The sequence below is a fragment of the Homo sapiens genome, chromosome 6 (genome assembly GCF_000001405.40).
Source record: "Homo sapiens chromosome 6, GRCh38.p14 Primary Assembly".
Lineage (NCBI taxonomy): Eukaryota > Metazoa > Chordata > Mammalia > Primates > Hominidae > Homo > Homo sapiens.
Window position 1 is genome coordinate 156,487,061 of NC_000006.12, and position 25,493 is coordinate 156,512,553.

The 25,493-nt window shown below is 41.8% G+C and overlaps 1 long non-coding RNA gene across 2 annotated transcripts, besides 1 other annotated feature; it reads right to left on the reverse strand.

Annotated features, from left to right (window-relative positions):
- Positions 1-6,165: 6,165 nt before the first annotated feature.
- LOC105378073 (uncharacterized) lies at positions 6,166-17,959 on the reverse strand. 2 transcript variants are annotated; one of them, NR_187999.1, is made up of 6 exons: positions 17,920-17,959; positions 15,173-15,239; positions 13,991-14,091; positions 12,674-12,777; positions 11,785-11,976; positions 6,166-6,468 (listed from the first exon to the last, which is right to left on the reverse strand). It is a non-coding gene; the product is annotated as an uncharacterized LOC105378073 (long non-coding RNA). The 2 variants fall into 2 exon arrangements; NR_188000.2 differs by lacking the exon at positions 6,166-6,468 and adding an exon at positions 10,686-10,963.
- Positions 15,984-16,498: an enhancer, noted in NCBI's record as "NANOG hESC enhancer chr6:156824178-156824692 (GRCh37/hg19 assembly coordinates)". NCBI's record gives its function as "activates a minimal SCP1, AML or CMV promoter by ChIP-STARR-seq in naive H9 embryonic stem cells {active_cell/tissue: H9 hESC(naive)}" and the evidence as "EXISTENCE:reporter gene assay evidence [ECO:0000049][PMID:30033119]".
- Positions 17,960-25,493: the final 7,534 nt, after the last annotated feature.

Sequence of the window (25,493 nt, forward strand, 5' to 3'; positions counted from 1 at the left end):
GTTTTGCCACATTTGCTCTATTATCTTTCTCTCTGAATCATTTGAAAGTAAGCTTCAAACATCAAGCCCCTTTATTTTGTCAGAGATGAAAAATGATTCCTCTACCCTCTTAGGTTTTTTCCTTGGAGGCCTGCAAATTAAACTGATAAAGGACAGATTAGCAAGAAAAATAAACATTGAATGATGTTGGTAGGCATGGGAATTCACAAGGAAATGTGACTCAAGAAGATGATTAGAATTTTGGACTAATATAACACCTTTTATTTATTTATTTTTGAGACAGGGTCTCACTCCGTCACCCAGGTTGGAGTGCAATGGTGCAATCTTGGGCTCAAGTGATTCATCCACCTCAACCTCCCAAGTAGCTGAGACTTCAAGTGCACGCCACCACAGGCAGCTAATTTTTGTATTTTTTGCAGAGACAAAGTTTCACTATGTTGCCCAAGCTGGTCTCGAACTGCTTAGTTCAACCAACCCACCCATCTCAGTCTCCCAAAGTCCTAGGATTCAGATGTGAGCCCCCATGCCCAGCCCTTATATACCATCTTAATTGGGGATGGGGAGGATCAGAGGACACTTCTGGGAGAACCAATAACTTCTTAGAAAGGGTTTGGGGAAAGGGCACTTACGGAAAAACAAATGATTTTTTTGAAAGACAAATGGGCCTTTAGGAGAGTAGATAGGAGATATGATAATTTGATGACAATGTCTACTTGGGTGAGGTGACAATTTCTCATCTCCATCTAAGTCACTCTCGGGGAGGGGATTTATGGCAACTGAGTTTTTTGTTGGTAGGTTCTGCTTTTAGACAGATAAGAGATTTCAGGAACTCAAATGCCTTCGGGCCCAAATAATTAATGACACAATGGCTTCTTCTGGACCCCTTCAACTTCCATACTGCAGCCTGTGTTGCCTGAGAACTTAGGTAAACACAGAACATTGTCAAAATCAGGACATTCAATGCTATTAGCCCAGAGCTGAGCACCCTGTGCCTGTTCCTCAAGTGCCTCTCGGCTGGCATTTTTTGTTTAGAAAAGAGGTTGGCTAAGCTTCTTGCAGCTATGTGAGGACTCTGTCTTAGCAAAGATTTCTAAAGTGTCTACTCTGTGCCAAATAGTGTTCTAGACACATGACTCAAGTGATGTTTGATAGCCACATGAGGTTCTCCATCAAACCCACAGACCTATTTTTATTTTACCAATAACTTTTAAACCAGTTAGTTATTGTAGATTTACTTAAGTCACATGAACCAAAAAGCATTTGGGTTAATTACTATATATTTTATGTTCTATATGAGTGTTCATTTATTTAAGCCAATCTGAATACAATTTCTTAAGGCCTTTTTGGCTGACTATACTGGATTTTATCACGTAGAAACAACATACAATATAATACATGTACATATGCATAAACACACCTAAACTTATATACACACACAAAGATCTTATGGCTTTCCTTTCAGAATTTTTGTCATAATATAGTAATATAAACTCACCAGTTTAAAAAAGACAATTGGATCCAAATTATATTTCTCATAAAATTGGGACTTGTTCACATGTTTAACTTTTTTATTTTATTTTACTTTATTGAAACAGAGTCTAGCTCTGTAGCCCAGGCTGCAGTGCAGTGGCCTCATCCCGGCTCACTGCAACCTCCACCTCCCAGGTTCAAGCGATTCTCCTGACAGCCTCCCGAGTAGCTGGGATTACCGGCACATGCCACCACAATTTTTGTATTTTTAGTAGAGATGATGTTTCACCATGTTGGCCAGGCTGGTCTTGAATTCCTGACCTCAAGTGATCCGCCCACCTCAGCCTCCCAAAGTGTGGGATTACAGGTGTGAGCCACTGTGCATCACATGGCTAAACTTTATTTGTCCTGATAGGTAATCTAATGAAGGCTGTGGACCAAAATTTTGGGTAAAGCTGTTTCTGTGGCCGGTGGGAGAAAAATTTGCAGCAGTTTTTGTTTGTTTTCTGGCTTTTTCCTTTTGCTTCCTGCATGACACATGTAGTGAAATTTTTATGCCATATAGACATACTTTATATTATTGCTCTGACTTCAATATTTTGACCAATTTGATCTGAGACCCTAACTTTTATAAACATTTATCTAGTTCTTTTTTATTAGCTATCATCCGAGGCAATTTTTAGTCAAGCAAACCTAAATTTATATTTCTTAAAGGTGTCTAAGTTGTTGGTTACCATGGAACTTTTGTAATTTGTAAAGCAATTAATTTGGAAGCCCTTTAAGATTTTTATTTTATCTTGGCTGGAGTACCATAAGCAGTGAGTCTTATCTCACCATTAGAAAATTCAACATATTCAAAGTAGACAGGTAAAAAAAAATAGAGAGGTAGACAAAGAACTTAGAAGGCTCTACATATTAAGTCTATAGTTGCAGGGTTTTTTGAGAGTTTGAATGATGATCACTGAGCTCTGAATTTTTATTGATGTGATTTTGCCCATCAGTTTAAAAATATGCACAAGAACAGGCCATAATATGCAGCCAGGTGGAATCCTAAAATATCTGGCATGCCTTAATGTTTGAAAATCCCATACCATTTCCTTTTAGCCTCTTGATAGGTTAATAAGATAATGATAATCTCATCTTGAATTGTGGCTCCCATAATCCCCACATGTGGTTGGAGGACCTGGTAGGAGGTAATATAATCATGGGGGCTGTTTCCTCAATGCTCTTCTTGTGATAGTAAGTTCTCATGAGATCTGATGGTTTTATAAGGAGCTTCCCCCTTTGCTCAGCTCTCATTCTCCTTCCTGCCATCATGTGAAGAATGACGTGTATTCTTCCCCTTCCGCCATGATTGTAAGTTTCCTGAGGTCTCCCCAGCTATGTTGAACCATGAATCAATTAAACCTCATTCCTTTATAAATTACCCAGTCTTGTGTATGTCTTTATTAGCAGCATGAGAAAAGACTAATGCTGCAGAGAGTGGGGTGCTGCTATAAAGATACCTGAAAATGTAGAAGATACTTTGGAACTGGGTAACAGGCAGAGGTTGGAACAGTTTGAAGTAATCAGAAGAAGACAGGAAAATGTGGGAAAGTTTGGACTTTCCTAGAGAGTTGTTAAATGGCTTTGACCAAAATGCTGATAGTGATGTGGACAATGAAGTCCAGGCTGAGGTGGTCTCAGATGGAGATGAGGAACTTGTTAGGAACTGGAGTAAAAGTGACTCGTGTTATGCTTTAGCAAAGAGACTGGTAGCATTTTGCCCCTGCCCTAGAGATCTGTGGAACTCTGAACTTGAGAGAGATTATTTAGGGTACCTGGCAGAAGAAATTTCTAAGCAGCAAAGCATTCAGGAAAAAACAGAACATAAAAGTTTTGGAAAATTTGCAGCCTGACAATGCAATAGAGAAGAAAAAAAACATTTTCTGGAAAGAAATTCAAGCCAGCTTCAAAAATTTGCATAAATAATGAGGATCCCAATGTTAATCACCAAGACAATGGGGAAAATGTGTCCAGGACATGTCAGAGACCATGGCAGCCCCTCCCATCACAGGCCCAGAGGACTAGGAGGAAAATAATGGTTTCATGGGCTAGGCCCGGGGCCTCCATGCTATGTGCAGCCTAGGAACTTGGTGCCCTGAGTCCCAGATGCTCCAGCCATGGCTAAAAGGTGCCAAGGTACAGCTCGGCCCATGGCTTCAGAGGATGCAAGCCCCAAGCCTTGGCAGCTTCCACATGGTGTTGAGCCTGTGGGTGCACAGAAGTCAAGAATTAATATTTAGGAACCTCCACCTAAATTTAAGAGGAAGTATGGAAATGCCTGGATGTCCAGGCAGAAGTTTGCTGCAGGGGCAGAGCTCTTATGGAGAACCTCTGCTAGGGCAGTGCAAAAGGGAAATGTGGGTTCGGTGCCCCTACGCAGAGTCCCCACTGGGGCACTGCATAGTGGAGCTGTGAAAAGAGGGCCACTGTCCTCCAGACCCTAGAATGGTAGATTCACCGACAGCTTGCACCATGCACCTAGAAAAGCCACAGACACTCAACACCAGCCATGAAAGCAGCCGGGAGGGGGGTGTACCCTGCACAGCCACAGGGGCAGAGCTTCTCAAGGCCATGGGAGCCCACCTCTCACATTAGCATGACCTGGATATGAGACATGGAGTCAAAGGAGATCATTTTGGAACTTTAAACTTTAATGACTGCACTGTTGGATTTTGGACTCGCATGGGGCCTGTAGCCCCTTTGTTTTGGCCAATTTTTCCTATCTAGAATGGCTGTATTTACCCAATGCCTGTACCTTCATTGTATCTAGGAAGTGACTACTTGCTTTTGATTTTACAGGCTCATGGGTGGAAGGGGCTTGCCTTTTCTCAGATGACTCTTTGGACTTGGACTTTTGGGTTAATTCTGGAATGAGTTAGAATTTGGGGGACTGTTGGGACGGCATGATTGTGTTTTGAAGTGTGAGGACATGAGATTTGGGAGGGGTAAGTGGTGGAAATGATATGGTTTGGCTATGTCCCCACCCAAATCTCATTTTGAATTTTAGTTCCCGTAATCCCCACACGTGGTGGAAGGGATCCAGTGGCAGGTAATTGAATCAGGGGGTGGTTTCCTCTGTGCTGATAGTGAGTGAATTCTCACAAGATCTGATCATTTTATAAGGGGCTTTTCCCCCCTTTGCTGTGCACTTCTCCTTCCTACCACCATGTGAAGAACGTGTTTGCTTCCCCTTCTGCCACAATTGTAAGTTTCCTGAGGCCTCCCCAGCCCTGCAGAACTGTGAGTCAGTTAAACCTCTTATGCTTTTGTACAAGCAGGTGTAATCATTTCAGTATTATTTGTATAAGAACAAATTGGAAACAATCCAAATGTCCATCAACATGAGAATGAATAAATAAAATAGTGTACATTTATTCAAGGGCACACTAAATAGCGTTTAAGGCTGAATGCACTAAAGATATATCCATCAACACGAATAATTTTCAACACCATAATGTTGAATCAAAAACAGCTGAAGAATAAGTATAGTATCATGCCACTAATAAAAAGTTTAAAATTTAAAAAAAACCATATCATACACTATCATATATTTTATAATTATATTATAGTAAAAGTACAAAAACATATCTGGGAAGGATAAATATTGAATTAATCATAATAGTGGGAAAAAAATGAGATCAAGGAGAAGTTTGTAAGGGCAATTAATTGCCCCAATGTTTTATATCACCAAAAAATATCTGAAGCAAATATGGAATCATGTTAAGACTTAATCAAGATGTGTGGTAGATATGTATGTATACTTTACATTAACAACTATTCATGTGTGGATGCTTGAAATCTTTCATAATTTAAAAAACATCTTCTAAAATAAATTAACTTTAGGTTTATGATTTTTTAAATGAAGAGTCTTCTCTGCTTTTTAAAATCACATTAATAAACATAAAATATAATTAAATTGATGTTCCTTAAATTTAGATGTGGAGAAGAATTAAAATTTTAAAAACAGAAAAATTATATTGATAAAAGGATTCTCTTCAGAAATCGAGGCAGAGGAACAGGCATTTCCCTGACATCACCAGAAACGTTATACAAGCGGAGAGAAATACTCTGGGATGATTACCAACATTGACACTGTTCCATTATTGATCCCAGCCCACAGGCTACTTGTTTATTAGTGAAATTCACCATGGTTAACTCACATTGATGACTTTGGAAAAAAAGAGAAGCATCCTGGGGGAGGGAGATGGAACAGGGATGAGAAGAAGTTGCCTCATTGTGAATGAGGACCCAATGGCATAGTAGGAAAACCATCATGCTATGTTTAAGCCCTGAAAATTTTCACAAAATATTAATAGGAATTAATCTTCTTTCCTACTATAATTTAAATTCAATGAACTTTAATCTTAAGTGTGAAGTCTAAACTCTTTCCTAAGTAAGAAGTTTTTTGCATATATTGATTTGCCACACGTATATCTAATTTTTTGTTATTAAAGAGATAGTATTATATTCTTCAAATATAACTAATGATTCCTTGATTAATCAAGAAAAGAATAAGCAACCCTTTTGATTCCCTTCCTTATCTTTTTATCTAGCTCTCATTTCATTATTAATAGGACAGTTCCCAGAATGTGGGCAGAAAAGGGGAAAGGATATTAAACATAATTACAGGAATTTTGACATAAGTAGAAATTGAAGCTATTAAATATTTTAATTTTATGGTAACATATTGATCTTATGTATTCGTTTTCTGTATTTTATTCTATCCCAGCAATTCACTTATAGTTAATTTTGGTATTAAGTATCCCATCATATTTATAAATGCCCTGCATATTATTTACAAACACCTTATGCCAAAGATGGAGCATTTAAGATGTGGATCAGTTGATGAGCTCTATAATCCGGCTCAAACTATATCATCCCTGATACTGCAATCAGTGTTGTCCTCCTGTTAGTGAAGCTCAGTTCCATCAGGATGCTTATCACCTGCAGCAACTCAAGAAGAATCAGAGGGTAAATGAGATTAAGACAGTGTACTGCACTTGGTCTAGTGGGAATATGTATATTAAATAAGTAATTGTCAAAGTAACATGATATTTAAAGTGACCTTTTTCCTGGGACTCAAATCTAAGGACAAAGATAAGTCACACATACACACACACACAGCTGAAAGTGGACCAGATAAATCCTCAGGGCTTATTAAGAATCATCCAATCTAGTTTTACAAAAGAATACTGAGAGCAGAGAAGGCTGAGAAAGACACTGGCAATTTACTCAGGGAGGGGTGAGTACCATGACTTCTCCCTCCAGAAGTAAGCAGGGATTCTATAAGAATGTCTCCTAGATGTTGGGAAACAGGCATCTCCACACCTTGGCTGGGCATCTGCTTAGACAAAGGGCTGCTGATCGGCCCTCTGTTGGGTGGGGATAGGAGAGAAAAGAACTGGGAAGACAACAGCAAGGCAGATTGCCACACAAAGGAGCAATCTGTTCCCCGCTATTGTGTGCACAAAGATGCATGACTCTTCCTTGCATGGCATCAAAGAAGGGGTCCCACCTGAGCCATGTTGCACATGTGCCATGTCGGGGGCTGTTCTGGCCACCCAGGCCACTTTCACACACAGCAGGAGGCTGTGGGGCGTTCCACAGAGGAGGGAGCTGAAAGAGGGTTCTAAGAGGTCACAAAGAGATGATCTCCCATAAAGAAAACTGCACAGTGGGGACAGAGCCCGCTGAAGAATTCATAGCACTAGAGAGAGCCCACAGTTGTGTGTGTGTGTGTGTGTGTGTGTGTGTGTGTGTGTAAGTTAGGGCTAGCATTAGCCAGTGGAACCAGCATTAGCCCAGAGAGGAACTTCAGCTGAAGCCAGAAATTCAAGAGGACCCCTCACTCCTCTCTCCTGGCCCTTTTTTCCCTCCCCAACCCAATGGAGCTAGGGCCAGAGGACGGGGGAAGAGATGTGAAAGAGGAGGGGCCCCTGCTGAAAACCTCAGGCCCCAGCTGGGGATGAGGGTTGGGTGGAGGAGAGTAGAGAACACGTTTTAAACTGAACTGGTATGGATTTTTAATAACTGAAAAGGATTAGAGACCTAAGAAATCTGCCTGAGATGTAACTAAGGGATGAAACTGATAGAGTTAAGAAAAATTGATTAAGGTGAAAATTAAAATAAATAAACAAAACAAAACCATGTCTTGTTCATCCCTGTACCAAGTTCAGACTACACAATAAATGAATTGCATAGATTGGCTGGGTGTTGGGCAAGAAGCCAGGGTGATGTGGGAGCATGTAGAAATGGCCAATGCAAGGGAAAAATTGTAGGATGAGGAGGAATTAACCAGGCAAAGGTTGGGAACAGGCTGAAGCCAGGAGAGAGGAGTAAATCCAAGGAATCATGGCCATGGCTGATATGGCTGTATTGCTCCATTGATCCATTAGCTCAACCACATTCAACAGATAAGCCAACTGTTTGCTCAATTATTTTTTGATCCTATATTCCTCTGCACTCTACCTTCACCCTCGAAGGAGTCAACCACATTCAGTGCCAATTTTTAAAACTAGCCCGAGTTGGAGGAATTGTATGTAATGATTAAAAGCACAAGCTGTAGAGGCAAAATGCCCAAGTTCAAACCCTGACAATGCCACTTAGTAACTGAGTCCTCCAGTTTTCTCATCTGCAAAATGGGATAACAATAGTATCTTCCTTTCGGTATAGTTGGAAAGATTAAATGAGGTAGCTAGTACAATGCCTGTCATTTAGCAAAAGTGCAATAAATGACATTACATGATTAACTGATTAATGTATGGCAAAGCCCTTTAAAATGTAAATTACAGCTCTCTAAGGCATCATGCTTGAGTTTTGACTGTATTTAAAGCCATGAGACAATTCTCTCGTGGACGTAAACTTTCTGAAGAAAAACATTAAGTATTTGTGTGCAGGTGCTGCACAAAACTCATAGAGCAGAGAGAACTCTTGAGAAAAATTCCAATTTGCTTGACAAGGAATTTATTCTCACATGGCTATTTGAAACATTTTCAATATATGAAGCATAATCAAACACATAAATACATATATAATGGCCAATAACCTATAAGCAGATACAAATAATACGCTTTGAAGTATACATAATGAATGTATTTCACAAATGGAACTTCATTTTAACATTCTAATGAAATCAATCTATTGCTAAACTGGTATCAGGGTTACTTGAATCATAACTACGCACATAGTAGGTGCTCAATAAATCTTTGTTGAAGATAATGGCAATGTAATGACTCCTGTATATTCAAGGAGATTTTTTTTTTTTTTTTTTTGCCTCAATAAATGACTTCTTTCAAACTGGTTTCCAAGTGTGTTTACATCTTACATGAATTCCATTAGTACAGGGCCACACTGAATCACTGTCATATGTAACCTAAGGACAAAAATCAGAATCATTATTTATTTTTTCCTGAATCTTGTTAAAAATAAAACTGCACCATGAATTTTGAACAAATCTAATGCATAAATACATATTTTGGGTGATTCAATGCCAGCATATCCAATTCAAATGCCATCGTATTATAAAACCAACTGATGGCCATCATTCGTGTACACTCTCAATACTTGTGAGTTACTTCACATCCCTTTCCATTTTTCCTTAAATGGAAGAAACTGAAACCTAATAACCAATACTTCCTTCTACCCACACTAAAGAAAAACCACTCTGAGCCTGCAAGCCAACAGTCACGAAGTTGCCATCATTTTATGAGCTCTGTTGCCTCGTTCAGGCGTTCAGTCTTGGTGGCCCGGAATTAGTACCTTGATGCCCTTCTCAAACAACTGGAAGTATTTCCTGCAGAAAGCCCACGATCTGCCTAAGAAGGGATCGTCACCAGATAAAGCCATGATGCATATCTCGTCAGTGAAAACAGTTGAATAAAAGCAAACTTCAACCTTCAAGAAAAAAAAAATTGGAAGCAACATATATTTTGCTTTGTTTCGTTTTGTTTTGTTTTGAGACGGAGTCTCTCTCTCTCCCCAAGGCTGGAGTGCAGTGGCACCATCTCGGCTCACTGCAAGCTCCGCCTCCCGGGTTCACGCCATTCTCCTGCCTCAGCCTCCTGAGTAGCTGGGACTACAGGTGCCCACCATCACGCCCGGCTAATTTTTTTGTATTTTTAGTAGAGACGGGGTTTCACCGTGTTAGCCAGGATGGTCTCAATCTCCTGACCTCATGATCCGCCCGCCTCGGCCTCCCAAAGTGCTGGGATTACAGGCGTGAGCCACCACGCCCAGCCGGAAGCAACATATGTTAAACAGCAGAAGTGTACACTTGTCATCTATCCACTGCACACTTATAAGCTCTTGCCATTTTTGACACATGGAAGTATGCCATTTTATAGAAATAGAATGGCCCCAGTCTAGAAAAAAAACTGGAGGAGGGGAATTAGAATAAGAGAACTTCAAAGTGACATGCAGTTTGGTCTGCACGATTGCAGATGATGAAGGAGAGAGAGAAAATATATAGAAACGTTTTTATTTTTCATTTATATAGAGTTAGCGGTACAAGTGTAGCTGTCACATGGATATATTGCATAGTGGTGAATTCTAGGCTTCTAGTATACCCATCGCCTGAATAGTGTACATTGTACCCAGAAGGTAATATTTTCTCCCTCACCCCCTTCTGACCCTCACACTTTTTGGAGTCTCCAGTGTCTATTTTTCCACTCTATATGTTCATACCCACTGTAGAAACATACTGAGATGGGATTAATAGATGGGCCACAAGGCTAAAAGATAGGTCAAAAAGCTTGATTATAGTACAAGCCAACTCAAAAGTGCTGATTGAGTTCTTAGGTCATCAGAATGTGCCAGATAATGACACTGCTCATTTCCTAAGGGTTTACTCTGCTGCAGGCACTGGGTCGAGCGCCACACCTCAGCTCTTGGTGTAAATTGTCCCACTGAATCTTTGGAACACTGTCATCAGCACAGAGGCTCAAAGCAGTTGAGAGGGAAGAGGGACATTTAGAGGCATAAGCTGACACACCCTGGTAAATGGGGTCCAGGGGACAAGCTCCAGACTACTTCCCCCAAGAAAGGTATCAAGGCTTCATGATTTGTGGGATTGGGATTGAGGCAGAATCAGTGTTGTGTACCCATGAAATATTGGGACAATTTTTCTGCACACTCTTTGATTGACAAGATGCCTAATTTCAAAAACACTACCATGAATTTAGAAAATACTTTAATGAAATCTTATTTTCTTAGTGTATATCTGAGACTGGTAATAGACATATGATGTCATACATGTAGTGACTCAGGTGACAGACAATGCCTGATACATGCAGAGTGCCCATCTAGCCAAGCAATAGGGCCCAAGGGTGCTGGTGGATAACAGAGTGGAGACAGAAGTCCCAGATGCCACGTTCTGGCTGGGTATTCTTGATCACTCTGAGCCTCAGCTTTCTTCTTCTGGAAAATGACGGTGGTAATACCTCATAAGTTACTTCAAAGATGAAGTAAGATGGCATGTATTAGGTTGATCATGGAAAATTGCTTACATAAACAACCATTTTTTACCTACAAGAATGGCAGTTTCTATGGTTCAACCTATTACACAAAGCATACTCCACACAGTCTGACACATTAGAAGGATTCATTAAATCCTAGTGGGGTGGAATGATGAGGAGTTACACGTTCATGGACCCTTAGCAATAACTCCTTCCCACTCCTCTGCCCACCCAAGAGTCTATGGCCATCAGTAGAGAACAGGAAGCTGAAGAATCCACTAGAAAAGACTTTATGCGGCCAGGCGCCTTGGCTCACACCTGTAATCCCAGCACTTTGGGAGGCCGAGGCAGGCAGATCACGAGGTCAGGATATCGAGACCATCCTGGTTAACATGGTGAAACCCCGTCTCTACTAAAAATACAAAAAATTAGCCGGGTGTGGTGGTGGGCCCTGTTGTCCCAGCTACTCGGGAGGCTGAGGCAGGAGAATGGTGTGAACCCAGGAGGCAGAGCTTGCAGTGAACCAAGATAGCGCCACTGCACTCCAGCCTCGGTGACACAGCAAGACTCCATCTCAAAAAAAAAAAAAAAAAAAAGACTTTATGCAATTGGTTTTCTGCCACAGATGACACTGTTGGTTAGGTAGAAAGTTGAAGTGGTTAATAAGGGCTCGGTGTTGATTGAATGTATTGCATGGGTCACCTCTTCCTTGTGGCTGTGCAGGTAGGGGTTGGCACCATCAACTAAGCACATTTCCATTGCACTTGAAACTCAGGCAGGCGAGAGGAGGACTGAAGCAGGGCAAGGGTGGTAGTACCTCTATATGGCCTCACATGGAAAAAGCCAGCCAAGGATGGGTGTAGAAGTTCAAGATTTCACAGCCTGAAGAGCTCATGCAGGACACATTCTTGGGATGCTTTTGTTGTAATCAAATCTGTCCTCTCTTTCCTCCTTCATAGCAAAAATTGTCCATTGGTGGATCACTATTGGATTCTATTCCAGATGGTAACTTAGTGAAGGGAGAGGAAGAAGGAGGGCATCATGCAGGAGGGCAGGTAGCTGGGTTCTAGGCTATTGATTGACATAGCTCCTGCTATTTTATTCTAAGGTTGGAAGGTTGTTTTGTCCCACTTTTTGAATATTATCACAAGTACAAATTCAGGATTTGTATCAGTCAGGCACCACCTGCCAGGACTCAGTAAAGCTTATTCATTGACAAATACACAAATCCCTTGATTTCTTCCTTTCCCTGCCATATAGAAAATGCATTTGTCAACATAAAAAATGCTGGGAAACAAATCTTCATGAATAGAAGACTTTTGCGTTAGACTAAGTTTTATTTATGTTTAATAGTCTTCAAGGTCTTACAGTATATTCTTAATAAGCTTCATAATTTTCTGATATTTCAAAAACCCACAAAGTGACATTTACATAATAATCCTAAAACTTGCAGAAAATTATAGTTGCTAGTATAAAATCATTTAAATATCATAACCTTATAATTTACCTTATTGTTAGTTCGGTGCAGTAATAATTAAGAGATTTATTCTACATATACAGTACTTTTTGAGAGTCTGTTATAAAAATGAATATCTAATTCATGTCATTAAACAGCTTATAGTTTAATTTAGTTATTTTCAAACAATGATACGTGAGAAAATATAGAGTCCATGGCTCTACCCACTAAAAGTTCTGATTTAGCCTACCTGGGAGATGGGTGCAGAAATCAGCACTGACAAGGAGGGTGCAGGGTTCATAACACTCTTGGAGAAGCGCTGATTTATGAGCTAGAGAGAGTTGACTGAAAAGCCTTGGGTTACACAGACACATCACTGTTAGTGCTTTGAGCTTTTCCCTGAGTTCTCTTACATCATGCAAAGTAACACTAGGTGATAGACACTAACAGCAAAAACCCCTCTCTAAGAAGCTCCTACTTGATTACGGAATGAATGCCATATTAGGACTTACTCATAGCAAAGCTCCAGTTCAGCAATTCTATGTAACATGAATAGATATATTTTAAGTCCATTTAATTTAAGCCCATTTCATTTCACACTCTCCTTTGGTGGACACCAACAAGAGCCACAAACCAATGCCTACACAGACCTTCACACTCCGGAAGACCAATGTGAATTCTCTCTTTCCTAGCTCTCTAACCCTATTCCTTTAGCATCTCCTTCTAAGGTTTTGATAAGGTTTAGCTCTGTGTCCCCACCCAAATCTCACCTTGAATTGTAATAATCCCCAAATGTCATGGGACAAACCCAGTGGGAGGTGATTGAATCATAGAGACAGGTTTTTCCATGCTGTTCTTGTGATAGTGAGTAAGTCTCGTGAGATCTGATGGTTTTATAAAGGGAGTTCCCCTGTACATGCGCTCTTGCTTGCCACCATGTAAGACATCCCTTTGCCCTTCCTTCATCTTCTGCCATGATTATGAGGCCTTTCCAGCCATGTGGAACTATGAGCTCATTAAACCTCTTTTTTTTATAAATTACCCAGTCTCAGGTATGTCTTTATTGCAGCATGAGAACGGACTAATACCGGTTTATTTCCCAAACCACTGATTTCCCAAATCATTTCTACTGCTCCTCTCTGGATCCAGACCACATTCTCTAAATCTTAAGATAACTGACAACCAGAGCTACCATTAGCCCATACAGCAACTTTACGTGAATTAGAAAATGGTGCCCCTTCCTAAGACACTTTACTTCTTGTCGTAAGTTCTGATTTTGTCAGGACAGGTAACTGCTCTCTGCCAGAAGTTTGTCCTAATAAGTATACAAATATTAAATGCCTCTAGTTTGCCATGCTCTGCCTGCACACCACGTAGGGTGGCCCTGGAAATGCCTCCAGTTTGCCATGCTCTACCTGCACACCACATACGGTGGCCCTGGAAGGTGAGCTTTGGGGACATTTCCGTTGTTTGTTGAAAATTTTCCACTCTAGGTTCAAACACTGATTATTTCTCCCTATCAATGAAAGGGAGGTAGAATAGATCTTTGGATGGTGATATGACTTACATCTTCAAGCAGAATTCTATTTTTTCCCTCACTTGCTGCCTTGTGGGTGGAGTGTTTGGAATAAGTTGGATTACTGGGAAATTAGTCTTTTTGTAGGCATCCTATTTATGGGGAAAAAAGGATAGTGTCAGTTCAAGTTCTCACCATTTAACTGGAGAAAAACATAGGGTGGGTAAAATCTGCATATACACAATGGCAAAGTAATATTTTGTCAAGAAGTAAACTACGGTACACAGGGATGAGTAATAATGTCTATAGATGTGCCTTAATCTACAAAATGAAGTGGAGAATTAACGCAATCAAGCTTTCTTTCTTTTCTCCCTCCCGTTCTCTCCCACTCTCCTCACTTTCAAAGAAAAGTACCATACGAATAATTGAGGCAAGAGGAGTTTTTTTCCTTGAATAATTCAGGAAATTGCCTCAATTTTCCTCTTCACTTTTCACTACATTTACTTGTGTAGATTCAGACCACATCTACATAATGAGACTCTATTGCTACAGTACAATCAACAAGGTATTTTTTCTTTTGCCTTAGTTCTTCAATTGATTATGTGACACTTAACTGTATCAACCATACATTGATCTGATTTCTTAAGAGAAAAAAAAAGGATTAGCCTGGCCATCACGGCCTTGCCTGCCCCACCCACCTTAGCGCTAGGTGCCTGCACCAGGTGGTTGGTGATTTCAAAGCAATGAGGAGGATTCTTTCTACTAGTATATGTTATGATGTTATTCACAAGGTTGGTCTGTTCATTTGTAAATAAGTAGGATCTCAATTTTAATTCTGGGAAACTGGAAAGGAGATGATGTAAGAATATCTGCAAGTTTCTTTTGAAAGCCAACAGAAAGTTGATTGTCATAAGAACCATTATAGATTCTGTAACAGAAATTTGGTTTTGAATTCAGAAATGGCTTCGGGTCACCACCAGACACGTCTCTCAATTTAGTGAGCCTGGCTTATATCAGTAATTTTTCTGAAGCCAGACCTAACAAACTTATAGAATCCTGTTTATTTAGATATTTTTTCGTTATTTCAAGTGTTTCAACATGTTTGATACATTTACAAATATTTTAATGTTTTTTCACTCTTGTTGCTATACAGTTTATGGGAACTTTCCCATTTTACTGTTTCTGAGTAATCCCTTCTCACTAATGAAGCGCTCACAAGACATAAACCCAAACCTTGCTTGATCCACAGGTTTCCTCTGGACAACACATCCATAGTTGTTGGCTCCAAAAGCAGCGTTTCCTGCAGAAAATCAAGTACATTTCTCCCAGATGCAGAGTGTGGCTTCATGTCCCATCCCTGGTTTTATTAAACGTGGCATGAGCCCTGGATGAAAATCAAGCCTGGCCTAGCAGGGGACTGAGTCATTAAATATCGCCACTGTTAACATCCACATGGCATTTGTGTGTTTACTCTGAGACAATCGATTCTCTGCCCTTGGGTTCGAATTGAACCCTTTGCCTTCCTCTCATTGTCTATTGCTCCCTCCAGCTCTGTTTTTCCCTTAATTCATTTCTTTTTCTCTTTTTTTGTCTTTCCTTTCTCCACCTTTCTTTGTTATAAACATTTTTTCTCTTTCAGTCTTTACCTTTTTGTATCCTCAATATACTCTTTTTCCTTTAATTTTCTTGTTGTAAAAACATTTTTTGCCTTTGGCCCAACCCCAGTACACACAGGAATGCTCTCCAGCCTCTTGGTCTCCTATTGGAAAAGTTTATCTAGCCAGGAGTGCTCCTCCGTCAACCCAAACTCATCTCTCCCTGCCAACCGAGGAAGCCCTTTCTCACCTTGTAGGTTCTCACCTCAGCTCTCAGAGGGCAACAGCCCCACACACTCCCAGTCTTCCTACATGTCATGTGGATTGTTAAGGGCATGGACTTGAGAGTGAGATAGAGCTGCACTGGAGCCCCAGCTTTGTGATCATCAGCAAGTTACATAAACCCCCAGGCCCTCAGTTTCCTCCTCTATAAAATAGGGCAATCCCAATTATTGCTGCTGTGAAGATTAAATGAAGCAATGAATGAGAGCACTTAGCATGATCCTGACCTGCAAGCTAAGGCTGGGTGAACACTTCAACAGGCCAGGCAGTGGCCTAAGCTCAGCGCTGGAGTTACGTCATCTCACGGCAATGCTGTGGGTTACGTATTCCTTATCCACATCCTCTCAATAAGATTGACGAAAACCAAAGTAAGTGTTCTAGTGAAGATCTCCATGACAATTACGACCATAATCACTGGCCCCTGGTGAGCGATGGCTCTGGACCAAGCCCACTTGTAATCGAGGAGAAGTGAGCCTCATGGTTACTAATCTGCATCCCAGGGCAGTGTCTGTCTCAGCTACTTGGCAGACTCCTCTACCTGCTTCAACCCTTGGAAACTAGATTTGGGTGCAATGAGGAGGGGCACAGCAGCCTCCTCATGTGCTGACAGAAATGTGGCACCAGGCTGGGTGCGGTGGCTCATGCCTATAATGCCAACACTTTGGGAGGCTAAGGCAGGTGGATCACTTGAAGTCAGGAGTTTGAGACCAGCCTGGCCAACATGGTGAAACCCTGTCTCTACTGAAAATACAAAAATTAGCCAAGTGTGGTGGCAGGTGCTCATAATCCCAGATACTCGGAAGGCTGAGGCAGGAGAATTGCTTGAATCCGGGAGGTGGAGGTTGCAATGAGCCAAGATCATGCCATTGCACTCCAGCCTGGGTGACAGAGTGAGACTCTGCCAAAAAAAAAAAAGAAGAAGAAAAAGAAAGAAAGAAAAAGAAGGAAAGAAAGAAAGAAAGAAAGAAAGAAAGAAAGAAAGAAAGAAAGAAAGAAACAAACAAACAAAGAAACAAAGAAACAAAGAAACAAAGAAAGAAATTATATCAAAAAAAAAAGAAAGAAAGAAATGTGGCACCACACTAGGAGCAGCAGGGGAAGTCACCAAAAGTCTCAAAACTTGCAGAGCAAAGAAAATGCAAGTGTAATTGAGGCTTAACCAGGCGCTGCTGCTTGCCTGGACTGCCCTGTCACTGTACCCACCTTCTATGGGGGCCACCTCTGGTAGACCCCCAAGGACTTAGTAGGACATAGTTTGCAGACTTCAGCTACAGGCAAATGCAGACATTTTCAACATCACTCACAGTAAGATGTCTTTGGAAGTTTAACCTCTGGTCCACTACGGCCTATCCTAAATGAGTAATCAGACCTGCAGGTATTAATTAAACTTATGGTTCTATTTATTGTAGGACTCTGGGGATTGAGCAGGCAGCAAATAGCAATAAGTACTTCTGAATGTTCTCTTTGGCTTAATTACTGTACCATAGTTAGTCCATCAAATTGATGTACAATCAACAAGGCTGTACTTACTCTATACTGCTCATTTAGTGTGAGAATACTCGGGAGCTGCCAACAACTTTCTCTGATCTCGTCTGAGTCCACTGGAGAATCAAAGCAGGACCAGCCCGTGGAGGCTTTAATCTAGCCTATCACAGATTAGTTTGGCAGGGAGTGCCTCTTCTCCCAGCCAGCATCTTTCTTTTTAGGCATAACCTTGATTGGTGCTGGATGTTCCTCTGTTCTAACCCCATCATCTGATGCAGCCCCAGCAGAACAAAGAGAAGAGCAGGTTTTCCCAGCATCCTCTGGTTTCCAAGGGCTTCATATACCACTAACAGGGAACATTAAAAGTATAGATTCCTGAAACCCAAAGGGACCTTAAAGGTTATCTAATTCAATGGCCTCATTTTATACAAGATGAAACTGAGACTAGAGAAACAAAATGGCTCAACTAAGGTCACACGATGTCTGAATAAGGGAATTTGAAGTTCCAATAGAGACCCACTCAAGCTAACTGAGTTTAGTAAAGGAAGATTCATTATAAGAGTACAGGGGACTCTCAAAGATTCAGTGGGACCTTGCAAGAAGTGGAATGCCACCAACCTCTCCCCTCTGCTTCCTCCTGAGTGTCTCCCAAGCTCTTAATTCTTGTCCCTTGTGACTTCAGATTGCATGTGGCTCTGAGTTGCCATGGTACCAAAATCCGATCCCATCTTCCAGCTTCAATGCCTGACACACAGGTCTCATGTCTCTTTAAATTTTGCAAATTGTTTGATTGGCTCATCTTGGGACTAAAGTTCAGGCATGACGATGCAATTAATTGCAGCCGAGAGCATGTACCACCTAGGCTCCCTCTTCACCATGGACTGGGGATGGGGGAGTTCCAACAAAGCAATAAGATATAAACGGACACCCACAATAGTAGGAGAGCCCACACCAATATCCAGATTTTCCAACTCTGCCTCCAGGACCCTTCCTACCGTATTATGCCAGCTCTAAATTTCGGGCCAAGGATTACCCTTCACTTGAAGGAAAACAGAGTTTGCAGCTAGGATTACTTAGGAAACGGTGGTTCTATAACGGTGGCCTTACAGTGGCTGCCTGTAAAACATCAAGAAACCGTTGCAGCAGTTACCTTATATTTTGATTCCCCATCCATAATACAATTAGAGAGAGAGAAACAGAGAGACAGCAAGAGAGAACATCAAGAACAAATAAGACTAATCAAAACACAAACACCAGGCTTCCTTCTCCATAATCCCATGAAAACCACGTCTCAGTGGCCTTAGCGGAGCCCTTACCTGGGTGAATAATTGAAGAGATGAGAAAAATGCCTTCACATCACCTTTCTCTCCTAGAAGAATCCAATCATGATTTTCACATTTGATCCTCTAGTATCTAAACTACTTCAATTTGCTGTTATTGTTAAGGAAGGAACAAACTGTGCCATTTTAAATTCAGATTTCAGTTCTCTTTCTATTTCCTCCCTCCCATCACACTAGATTTCCTTCTACTTAGTGAATGAAGCCAGGTATAACACATTCATTCATATTTCTCTCTTGACCTAACTCTTCCTGGACTTCCTCTTTCCAGAAGGCAGTCTTATCTTACAGGTAAAATAAGAGACAACTTAAATGAACCCATGCAGATAGTAAAAGCTATATATATATATATATATATATACATATATATAGAGAGAGAGAGAGAGCACTTGGGTTGCTATCTTCAAAAGCAAAGTCATGTCAATGGCAAAGGTACTGAGCCGGTGGTTAGGAGAACTGAGCTGTAGTCCTGGATGTAGAGCAAACTAGTTGTGGGAAAAAGACAGTGTTGCTTTTGGAGCTGAGTGTGGTATTGTGCAGTGTGCAATCAGTGATCTCTGTTTTCAGACATGCCCGGCTACACCATCAGGAGCCCTGGTCACTCTAGAAGGTCCTGTTCACTCCCCAGGCCACACCAATAGGAATGACCACTATATGGCCAAGAGAGCCTGAACCAGAAAGCAGAAACTCTCGTTCAGCTCCCAGCTCTGGGATCCACTACCTTACTCAGGCCATTTACCTTCTCCCCCTTTTCCTCACTGAAAAACAGGGAATTTGGAGCAGAACAGTAGATCGTGGGCTTTCCAGATTTTAAGCTCCTTTGAAAAATGTGATGCACGCTACAAATCCTCTCCCCAGAGAAATGCACACACACCTTAAGGGCTATGCATGATTTCAGGAGGCTCATTTAACCACCTAAAGGCTGTCTTTGAACTTGGTTTGTTTATTCATTTGTTTCTTTGTTTGTTACTCTGTTGCCCAGGCTGGAGTGCAGTGGTGCAATCACAGTTCACTGCAGCCTCAACTCCTGGGCTCAAGCCATCCCTCTTCCTCAGCCTCCCGAGTAGCTAGGACTATGGGCATATGTCACCATACCCAGCTAATTTTCTTTATTGATTTTTTTAAAGACAGAGTCTTGCTATGTTGTCCAGGCTTGTCTCAAACTCCTGGACCCAAGCAATCCTCTCATCTCGGCCTCCCAACATGCTGGGTTAACAGGCATGAGCCACCATACATGGCCTTGAACTTGGTACTGACTCATAAACCCCAAGTTAATTTCCATTGAACTAGACAACCTTTAAGGCATGTCCAGCTTTGGGAGTCTGTGAATACCAATTATCCCCAAGTCTACCTACGGCATAAAAGAATTTCAGCACTTTGTGCAAAGTGAGAGATCATCAACTCTATTCTCTCCTTTTACAGATGAAGAAACTGAGGGCCAGAGAGCCTGCACTGGTTGTCTATGATCATAGACAGAGCCTATAGAGCTGGGACTAGAGCCTCCATCGTTCAGTGTAGGTTGCATGGCACTCTGAGGTGGGTGCTGCAAAGCGTTGGCAATGCCTGACTACTGGAGGCTCATGAAGATACAGCTCCTCGTCTGGCAGCTCTCTACTCGCCAGGCCCTTGTGGCTGTGATCTCCTGACTTGAGAGCTGATCAGACATTGTCCTGGAGTTCCCTGCATTGCAATAAGAGAGTGGATGCCACCTTGAGACATTTTGGTTGCAATACCACCCAGCACTGGGCGTCAATGAGCAGCCAAACATGGTTTCATTTCAAAAGGCAGACGGAAGCAGTGCTCATGTGTGGTTCCTAACGGCACCATCGGAATTCCACTGATGCCAGCCAATCCAGGATAAGAAAATGCACATCATCTCTTATTAGTGAGATCTGTAGCTTGAGAAAATACCAGAAAGTTCGGTTATGCCCTGCCTCACCTGAAACCTCAGCTTTTTGATAACTGCACTCCGGAGTTGTGTCACATTCCATAAATCACACGTATAGAGGAAGGCTTGAAGCATTTTCTCAAGTGTGCATAAAATCTGGAGGTTTTTTTTTTTTTCTTTTTTGCCAGTCTCGACGAGCAGTGGGTGTCTGGGTGGGTGGATTGAGTGACACGTTAGTGAGAAAGTTCCCTCCCCTTGAAGAGCTCCTCGAAAAAGGAGTCAGAGAGATATCATTTGAGAAAGTGACAGGCAGATCATGTAGCCTCGGCGCCGAGGAAATAGGGTTTAAATCTGTCAGAATCCTGAATTCAGAACAGCGCTGGTACCGAGAAGGGAGTGAACCGAACCTCACTAACCTCTGTCAGCGCCGGTTTTTTATTTCATGCAAACCCCCGGAGGAGCATCTCAGATCACTCCTTCCTCTCTTTCAACATCCTGCAGCTAAAAACGAGACCCCAGCAGCTACACGGCAAGAGGGGCATTCTTCACCTCCCATTTGTTCCCGAGGAAGTCTCCCCCCATTCCTTGCCCTCCCTGCACTGGCTGCAAAGGTCTCCCAATTATCTCCTCTACCTGCCACATTAGAAAGTACAGTACGTGAGTTGCCAGAAATTCAGCGAGTCTGAGGACATGCCACAGTGGCACAGCCATGACATGAGAACAGATGGAAAACTTCTCAGGAACAAAATGTGCACACAAAAAATGGATTCTGGCTTTGAAGTGGATATTCACGGTGCAGCTTTCAAGTCTTCTGAAAAGCCCAAACTCAAATCTGACCTACTTAGGCAGTGTTCTTATTTATGTCTCAGACGAATGAGCTGTATATTTAGCAAATGAGAACTATTCATCCCCCATGCCCATTTCTTTATGTTTATAGAGCAGAGCAAATTTTGCTTTTTAATTTCTCCCCAGATTGTCTCCATGAAAGTGGATATCTACGTTAAACGCTGGTCAAAATCCGTACGTTCCAGGAATTCCACATAAGTGCATTCACATTTTCATTGAGTGTATGGGTTAATACCATTTAAAAGAAAAAGAATGAGACTACAGTTGATCTATGTTTGTCATCTTAGTTGGCAGATCAGCTGCTTGGCCTGTCTATTATTAATGCTGCAGTTCAGATTTACTGATGGTCCAACATGCAAACAGTGTAGATTTCTGCTAGAGAGCCTAGGTGAGCAAAGCGAAGTATAGAATTGAGGCTATTACCTAGCTGTCTCAAGCCAAAATAGACATTAGTTTCAATTATCTGGGTTTCCGGGAGAAAGCCTTTTAACCTTCATTATCAGGATAATTACTTCAACTCTCACCCTTTGTACATGCAATCAAAACCATAAAGTTTTAATCCCTGTGGCAAACAGTCACCTCAAATCTGTTTTACCATACACATGCAAAGCGCACACCTTCTAAAGAGGATGTGCATTCTTGTAGCTTTGTTTAAAGGTGTCCTCCAAAGAGGAACTGCTCTTCAGCAAAGCGGTTGACACAGGATGTCGCATCACTCAGCAGTGAGTCAGACCCCTTTGGATTTTGTCAGAAACAGAGAAAGCCAACTTTAGGAATCCAGGGCCCGGTGTTTCCATGCACGCTAAAACATATTCTTTTTCTTCCTGATAAAAGTGTTAATCCTACCCTTTCTTCATTTTTTAATGTTTCAAGTTTTTTGTAGAGACGGGGTCTCTCACTATGTTGCCCAGGCTGGTCTCGGACTTCTGACCTCAAGCGATCCTCCCAGCTCGGCCTTCCAAAGTGCTGGGAATACAGATGTGAGCCACCTTGCCCAGCACCACCTCCTCTTATTGAATAGGGAAGGGTTGGATGAATAGCAGCTGAGAATAAAAAAATAATGTATGGAGTCTTATTATATGACGTATTTTCTCTTTCAATTCTCAAAACGAGTTTATGTTCAGTGTTTAATAGTACATTTTTATCAGTCCAGCTCTCATCTTTTCAATTAAGCAAATGTGTACTGCAGCCCCGGGGCGTCGTCCTGGCTGTGTCTCCCAGCACCTGCATTCTCCTGAGCTGCAGCCACCGGAGCCAGAGTCTCCTGCACATGGTACTACGGCATCAACATCATCATCACCATCACCCTCGCCACGAGGACCCTCAGAAATCATCTGACCTGAAAGTGTGACTTCAGTGTACACACCTTCCTCTCCCCTCACTCCTTGCCTGGACCACATCCCCTTCCTAAGAAGTTGCTCTGGCCTGAATAGAAAGCCCTCTTCCCTCCTCTCAGGAAAAGATGAGCTCCATCTCTAGGTAACACTGCTGAGCCTGTGCCTGCAAAGTTGGCATCCCCTACTCAGTCTACTTAGCTCAGCACAGTTAGATGAAAATAAATGCAGACATCAGAGTATTTCTCTTACCTGCAGCTGGCTCCCGGGTCATGCTTTGTCAGAGCTGGCACCCCGATATTGGAGTTTCCAGCCTCCACACTGAAAGAAACAAATTTCTGTTGTTTAAGCCACCTAATCTATGGGATTCTGTTATGGCAGCCAGAGGAGACTATGGGAAACACCCTCTGAGTTGCCCCACCCACCTTACCCCTTTGGAGCCCCACATTTTCCTTCTCCCAGTTATCGCCCCATCTGAATATTTGGACTTGCTCTCAACTCACAGATTGACCAGGAACCTACTATGTGCTTGACATTTTGGGGCCAATTCTTGTAAGACCCTGTGCCCTCCAGTTAAACAACTGATATTGGCATCCCTGTGAGATGCTTGTGGTCCTGCTAACATCAGCTGTGACTCTGGGTTCAGAGAGCAAAGTAAATGAAATACAGCTATGTTGGCTTCTGCCCCATTAGGAAAGGGAAAAATCAATGTTTGCCAAATGTAGAAGGACAAAATCAATAACGAAAGAAATTTTATTTTCAACCTTCTAAGGGAGTATTACGAAGAAGAGAGAGTGAAAATTATTATTATTTATTGATGTATATAGCACCTTCTGAAAGCCTCAAAGTGTTTTATAGAATTACAAAGGGCCTTTGCCCTTTTCTGCGTACAGATCACTCTGTTCTGCTCCTGCGAAGCCCTCGCTAGAGGGGCGAGTGCAGGAAGCATTAGAGCAACATGATGCCACAGTGACAGGGGGATTACTTAAAGTTGGCATCCTATTTATTTAGAAAAAAAAACAAAGGAATAATTAGTAGTGCAGTGAGGTCAGCACACCCTCGTCTTGCAGAAAGTTCCTGAGGAAGACACCTCCTCTTTTGATATTTAGATGGCATCATAATATATGTTGTTTGGCAGAAAGAGAAAAACCTCTCTCCACCCTTCTCCAACGTTCCTTCCTTGGAACAAGCAGCACATTTGGGGAGAATCAGCCACCTGCTGCCAACATCTTAATGCAGTTCCTGGCAGAGGAGTTTTGATAGATGGATTCAAAGCCATGAGTGTAAACGACTGAACAAAACTTTCAGGGGGGATAAGATGTCAAAGGAACGAGGCTACAGAAAGCAGGGCCTTCCGAGGTTGGCAGCTGTCTGAAAAATTCACAAAGGGAATAGTCAGAATGAAATCCTATAAGGGCAGAGCGATTTCAACTTTTCAAGCTCCTCTCACCTGTTTTTTCTCATTTGAACTTTGTAATGATCTGTTGAGAAAGAGAGGGCAGGAATCATTAACCCCATTTTACAGAGGCTCATAGAGTGTAGGTGACTTACCCCGATTCATTCAGCTATTTACTGGCAGAGCTCAGAATGAAACCTGGTCTCCAAGATTCTTAGAGCCAGAAAGAAGACCAGAGATCAAGAAGCTCAACTCTTTACCCCAAACAAGAATCCCTTCCACAGCACCCCTGAGAATCCGCAAATCTGGGAATGATGAATTCATGACGTTGCAAGAATTGCATTCACTCTTTTAATTATTATTTGATCTTTTAATTATTAAAACACAGAAATCTACCTCCGTATGCTGTCCCCTGATTTCTCCTAATTTTGCCATCTAGTCTTATCCAATCTGTCTCACTTCCATGTAAGGACCCTGCAGATGAGGAGGGCTGATAGATGAGCACTATTACTGTCCACTATTTGACAAACATCTTCAGTTCCCTCAAGAACTGTTCCTATATTGTGGTTTTCAGATATTTTCCTCTCCTACCCTGGACAGTTCCAATTTGTCTCTATTACACATTAAAATCATATGCTCAGAACTCAACAAAAATTCCAAATATCATCTGACATCATGAGAAAGTAAGATTATTTCCTTTAGTTTTCTGCATACTACAGAACATGCTTTGAGGGGAATCTTCATTCACACTGTTGAATTCAAGTGATCTACTCAAAATCCAAGGTCTTTTCAGAGGAACTGCCAAATTTTCCAACCACCAACACCCCATCCTGTATCTTTGCATTCAATCTCTAAACCTCAGTGGAGGACTTTACATTTAGAAGTATTGAACTCTCTCTTATTCATGCCCATTAGCTCAGCCTGTTGAGCTCTTGCGACTCCTGATTCCATCTTCTAGCACACTGTCCTGTGTAGATTTGTAGATCAGCCCTTCTACAACTTCTTTCAAATTAGTAATAAATCAATTCAATGAAAGAGAGCCCAGAGTCGAGCTCTATGACAGGCATTAGTGAGTTCCTTATTGGTTGGCATTAGCTCATGAATCCACACACTGGTTATCCAGCTAGCAATTAACTTCCCCAACTAGTGTTCCCTGCACGTACTTCTTGTTAGGCAGTGCTCTAGGGTCAGTCACAGGTAATAGCTACTTTAAGAATAAGAGGGATGAAGTGTGTAAAATCTCCCTGAATTCGCTGTTGCTACCCCCTTTGCTTTCTGTCCCTGGCTCCATTGCCACTCCAGCTTCTCCCCAAGCCTGATGTCCCCGCTCCTGCTCCTGTAATCACCTTTCCTTGGGGTTTTGATGTTCCTGTGTCACCATCCCAATGAAC